The sequence below is a fragment of the Homo sapiens genome, chromosome 3 (genome assembly GCF_000001405.40).
Source record: "Homo sapiens chromosome 3, GRCh38.p14 Primary Assembly".
Lineage (NCBI taxonomy): Eukaryota > Metazoa > Chordata > Mammalia > Primates > Hominidae > Homo > Homo sapiens.
The window spans coordinates 20,785,054-20,791,333 of NC_000003.12; the positions used below are offsets into that span (position 1 = coordinate 20,785,054).

The 6,280-nt window shown below is 39.3% G+C and overlaps 1 annotated feature.

Annotated features, from left to right (window-relative positions):
* Window positions 5,456-5,957: an enhancer, noted in NCBI's record as "H3K27ac hESC enhancer chr3:20832001-20832502 (GRCh37/hg19 assembly coordinates)". NCBI's record gives its function as "activates a minimal SCP1, AML or CMV promoter by ChIP-STARR-seq in naive H9 embryonic stem cells {active_cell/tissue: H9 hESC(naive)}" and the evidence as "EXISTENCE:reporter gene assay evidence [ECO:0000049][PMID:30033119]".

Sequence of the window (6,280 nt, forward strand, 5' to 3'; positions counted from 1 at the left end):
AAAAAACAACAGATGCTGGTGAGGTTGTGGAGAAAAAGAAATACTTTTAAACTGTTGGTAGGAGTGTAAATTAGTTCAACTGTTCTGGAAGACAAGACAGTGGTTCCTTAAAAACCTAGGGGCAGAAATACCATTAGACTCAGCAATCCCATTACTGGGTATATACCCAAGGAAATATAAATCATTCTATTATAAAGATACACGCATGCATATGTTTATTGCAGAATTACTCACAATAGCAAAGACATGGAATCAATTTAAATGCCCATTAATAACAGATTGGTTAAAGAAATTTGGTACCTATACACCGTGGAATACTATGCAGCCATAAAAATGAAGGAGATAATGTCTTTTGTGGGAACAAGTATGGAGTTGGAGGTTATTATCCTTAGCAAACTAATACAGGAACAGAAACCAAATACTGCATGTTTTCACTTATAAGCGGGCACTGAAGGATAAGAACTTGATGATTAAAAAGAAGGAAACAGCAGACACTGGGGTGTACATGAGCAAGGAGGGTGAGAGGAGGGAGAGGAGCAGAAAAGATAACTATTGGGTACTGGGCTTAATACCTGGGTGATGTAATAATATGTACAACAAATCCCCATGATACGTGTTTATCTGTGTAACAAACCTTCACGTGGACCCCTGAACCTAAAATAAAAATTACCAAAAAATGGAGCCGAAAAATTTCTATTGCCTAGTGACCTCATAGGTATGATAATGAGTGCAATGCATTACTCACATGTTTGTGGTGATCCTTGTGTAAACAAACCTGTGTTGCCTGGCATGTAAAAGCATAGCATATACAATTATGTACATTACATAATACTTGATAATGATAATAAATGACTATGTCCCTGGTTTATGTGTTTACTGTACTATACTTTTTATCATTATTTTAGAGTGTACTTCTGCTGATCAAAAGAAGGTTAACTGTAAAACAGCCTCAGGGAGGTACTGCAGGAAAAATTCTAGAAGAAGTCACTGTTATCATTGGAAACGACAGCTTCACATATATTATAGCGCATGAAGACCTTCCAGTGACAGAGGATGTTGAGGTGAAAGACACTGATATTGAAAATTCTGATCCCGTCTAGGTCTAGGCTAATGTGTGTGTTTATGCCTTAGTTTTTAACAAAAATGCTTAAAAAGTAAAAAATAAAAATAAAAATAAAAAAAGAAGAAAATGTATAGAATAAGGATATAAAGAGAGAAAATATTTTTCTTTAGCTATACAATTGTTTTTGTTTTAAGCCATGATTACAAATAATCAAAAAGTTTAAAAATGTTAAAAGTTTAAAAAGTAAAAGTGTTACAATAAACTAAGATTAATTTATTTAAGAAAGAAAATTATTTTTAATAAATTTAGTGTTGCTTAAGTATACAGTGTTTCTAATGTCTGCAGAAGAGTACAATAATGTCCTAGGTCTTCACATTCATTCACCACTCACTCGCCAACACCCAGAGCTACTTTCAGTCCTGCAGGCTCCATTCATGGTAAATGCCCTATATAGGTATCCTGTTTTTAATCTTTCATACCGTATTTTACTGTATCTTTTCTACATTTAGATACACAAATATTTATTACTGTGTTACAACTGCATACAGTATTCAATACAGTAACATGAACATGCTGTGCAAACTTATAGCCAAGGAGCAATAGGCTATATCATATAGCCTAGCTGTGTAATAGGCTAAACCATCTAGTTTTGTGTGAGTGCATTCTAGGATACTCATGCAAGAACAAAATTGCCTAACCATGCATTTCTTAGAACGTGTCTCCGTCATTAAGAGATACATGACTATATTGAGCATGCCTGAGTCGCTCATGTTGCAGGCTCTGATGCCAGGAGTCTGATTTCCTCTGCTGGACCATGAGAAGTTACCTTGGAATTAGACTTGTGAGTCTTTTGGAGGATACTGTATTTTTTTCTAGGTGGAATTAGATTAGTGGCATAATCTTTATTGAAGTCAGGTCCTTTTATATTCACTCATGAAGATTCTGTGGCAAAATGATTGACTGGTTCAGGGAAAAGTCCAGATTAAAAGGCTTTATTCAACAGAAAAAGCTCAGCATGTTCAATAGTTCTAGTTCTTATCTATCTTGGCCTAACCGTCTTTGGTTGTCTAGGACTTTGTTTGCTCTCATTTAGCTGCTATTGGATCTTATCCAGAGCTTATGTTACACTAAGCATTAAGGCTTATATTAACCCTGAGTCTATTCAGCCCTTTAATATCATGCATTTTTTCATCCGAACATCCATTTATTTATTCTTGCGATAATTCACTCCACAAATATTTATTGAACCCAGTTAAATGCCAAGTTCTCCGAGTGATGCTGGGGATAGATTGTCAGTATACTTTGCTTTTCAAGCAAAGCAAAACACAGTACCAGCCCTCATGTAGCTTACAATGCAGGTGATTTTTTTTTGAATCACACATATGAGTTTAAAACTATAGCTGTGATAAACTCACAAAAGAGATCTTCATAGTGCTATGAAAACCTAGAACAGAGGGATATGATCTACTCAAAATCAGATGTGCTTTAGATGAAAAATAGCAGGAATGAGAAGTAGGGTGTTTTAAGCATAGCACAAGGCCTTGCAGTAGGAAGTAACATATCTATGTCAAAGAACTAAAAGCACCAGTGGCTGAAGCACCAAGCAGGGGACAGCAAGATGATAAGTGATTCTGGAAAGACTAAGAGGACTTTACAGGCCATATTGGGGGATTGGGGCAATTACCTTGAAACCAATGATAGGTTATTGTGTGATTTAAGCCAGGATTGTGACAGGATGGGAAGTTTATGTAGGGATAAGGACATAGAAAGGTAACGTGTTCAGATACAAATTTTAAAAAGATCATCTGAGTACAATGTAGAAAAGGAGTACACCAATGTAAATGCTAAAGCAGTGGTAGAAGATAACCTGGAGTATGTTCCAAGAGAGATAAAATAATGGAGATAAAATATGCTGATATGGTTTGGCTGTGTCCCCACCCAAATCTCAACTTAAATTGTGTCTCCCAAAATTCCCAAGTGTTGTGGGAGCAACCCAAGGGGAGGTAATTGAATCACGGGGGCTGGTCTTTTCTGTGCTATTCTGGTGATAGTGAATAAGTCTCAAGATACCTGATGAGTTTATCAGGGGTTTCTGGTTTTGCTTCTTCCTCATTTTCTCTTGCTGTTGCCATGTAAGAAGTGCCTTTCACCTCTTACTATGATTCTGAGGCCTCCCCAGCCATGTGGAACTGTAAGACCAATTTAACCTCTTTTTCTTCCCAGTCTCAGGTATGTCTTTATCAGCAGCGTGAAAATAGGTTAATACATATGGTGAATGGAGGAAAAAAGCAAACTGAAGGATGTTTCTTGGGGTATGCCTTGTATAACCGAGTGTGTGATTATGCCATTAACTGAGAAGATAACACTGGAAAAGGACTAGGACTATCTTGCTTGCCCACCTCCCCTTTGTCCACAGAGCATATCCAACATGGCAACATGCACATCCATTGGCTTTTATTACAGAATACGAGGAAGGCAAATGCAATGACCATTGGTACACCACACAATTGAAACTAACTTGTTCTACTGATATTTATTATAGCCAGTCAGTGTAATGTAGTAGAAAGCATAAGCTTTGTAATTATACACACTGGATCTGAATCCAGGCTTACCACTTCTTAATTTTGAAATTGTGGAGGTCTCTCAACCTCAACATGGTTTACATTTTGGGCTGGATAATACTAGTTAGAAGGGGCTGACTATGCATTTTCGGGTAGAAGCATCCCTGGCTTGTACTCACTAGGTGCCAGTGGCCTTGCCCCCTTATTGTGACAACCGAAAAGGTCTTCAAACATGGCCAAATATCTCCCAGGGAGACAAAACTTCCTCCAGTTGAGAACTCTTTTATTTTCCTTGATTTATATTTATATTATTTTAAAATAGCTATGATCTATTTACTTTCTTGTCATATCTACTTAATATATAGGGAATTAGAAATACAAAATTCAACATGAAAGTAAACATTTAGAATAATCTAATAATCATAACAATTTATAAATTTTAAAATTTACATTAACATAACAAAATCAAAACACTTTGCTTTTGCTAGCGACCCTTTCAGGGCCTTGGAAGAAGGTCCTGTACCAATGAAGCACCATGAGACTCTTTTTAAAATTTTTATTTATTTATTTATTTTGAGATGGAGTCTCGCTCTGTTGCCAGGCTGGAGTGCAGTGGCACAATCTTGGCTCACTGCAATCAGCACCATGGGACTTCATGAGCTTCACAGCAGGAAGGCCTCAACAGAATTCATCACATCTGAAAAATGAAAATGGGATGAGAACAAATGTCCTGTACTCCACAGTCTGCATGGGTTTTCTCTAGCAGGGTCTACTTTTGACTGTGCTTAAAGGTAAAAATGTGCTGCTTCTGTTCTTGTTCGCACACATTGTGTACTACAAACATCCACAACAATAATCTTTCCATTATTAAACCAGTTATTGTATGCTAGAAGAGACTAAAACTTCTATTATCTAATGTGTCTCTGAAAAAGAACCTTTTGTTATTTTAACATACCTCTTAATTATCAAGTGACAGCTTGTAGGCCCACCTTAAAAGCTCGTTGATTGGAAGATTGATGGTTCAGTGACTGAAAAAGCAAAAAATCAGGCTGCAAACATTATGGGACTCCTTCTAAAATTTAACACTGATCTTATCACCTTAGAAACAACTTCCTCTATGGTGTTTTTATGGGATTCATTGAAGAAATAGTTGCCTGTTCTAAAATCTGTTGGAATTTGCACAAGTGTCTAAAGATCTACTAAGAGATTAAGGTTTCAAGATAAGGCAACTACTGGTTATACAGTATGTTTATGAAACCCTATATAGTCTGACACTTGGTTAGCATAAAAGTGACCTCTCTTTCACTATATGTAAAAATAATTGTAGTCTTTTCTGTTAGAAGAACTTCTTTTGGAATAATTAGATTTACAATAGTTGCATTAAATTTTTTTTCTCCAAGATGGTGAATTAGAGGGTTTCAGTGAGGCTCGGCCCCTTGTAAATAGAACGACAGTGCATAAAGATCAACTCTGCAAGCTTTCATTCAAGAAGGAAAGTGAGAATCCACCGGAATAATGGAAGACAATCCCAGGTCCAGAGAAGAGAGTGCTGGCAAACATTTCCTGTGACAGCGTCCAGCTAATAAAAGTGAGTGCAGCCCCAGTGTGTGAGAGAGACAGAGGTTCTCTCTCTGTGACTCACCTTCCCACTGGGGATCCAAGCAACCCAGGCCAAGAGAGAGCACTTTGCTTCCCACCTCCTGGAGTTAAGGAGAGGCTTGGAGATGCTGTGTGGGAAAGACACTGGGAATATCTGCAGACATTTTCCCAGATCCAAGACTGAGAGCCGGATGCCATTTTTAATACAGATGCATGCAAAGTCAGCCATTTGGTGACCCAGCAGTGTGACTGTGCAGGCATTTTCATCTAAGGGCAGAAATTGGAGCAATTACTCTGAAGTGGGTTAGCCAGAACTGTGAAAAGCACCTCAGTAGTAGGTGCTAGAATTGTGTTCTCCCCTCTTGTAGGCCTGGGATTTGAGGAGAGCTGCTATAGCTGAAGTTTCTCTTGGGTGCTGAGACTTAGTGCCAGGGCGAGCTTGTTGACTTGGAACTGATCTGCATATGCCATTGCTGTGTGCCCTACACTACTTCCCTGAGAACATGGTGTAGCAGGGCCCTCACTGCTTCACCACAAGCAGAAATTCAGGCATTTGGAGCACCTACTTGCCTGGGCCAGCAGCCTGAGCTGCCCCACCCTTCCCAGACATAGGTCTTTGTGCAGGAGGACTCTCCACTCCATGCCCAGGCAGGTTTCCAGGCATTAGGAGCACCCTAATTCAGCAGGCTGAGACACCTCATCCTTCCTGGCAGAGATCCTGGTGCAGGGGGACCCTCTCTGCTCCACACTTAGGTAGATCTCCAGTCATTTAGAGCACGGGCTTTCCTGGTGCAGCAGCCTAAGTTGCCCCATTCATCTTGTGCAGAGATTCTGATGCAAGGGGGGCCTCTCTGCTCCACAACCAGGCATATCTCCAGGCACCTATAGCAACAACTCTCCTGGAATAGGAGCTTAGGCTATGCCCTGATCTCTATGCAGGGAACTTGGAGCAAAGGAGGTTGCCCAGCTCCATACCTAGGCCTACCTCTTGGTACCTGGCAGCCACCCAGTAGATTCTCCCTTGGCACTGGTTCTTGTGCCTGCCATTAGAGGACTT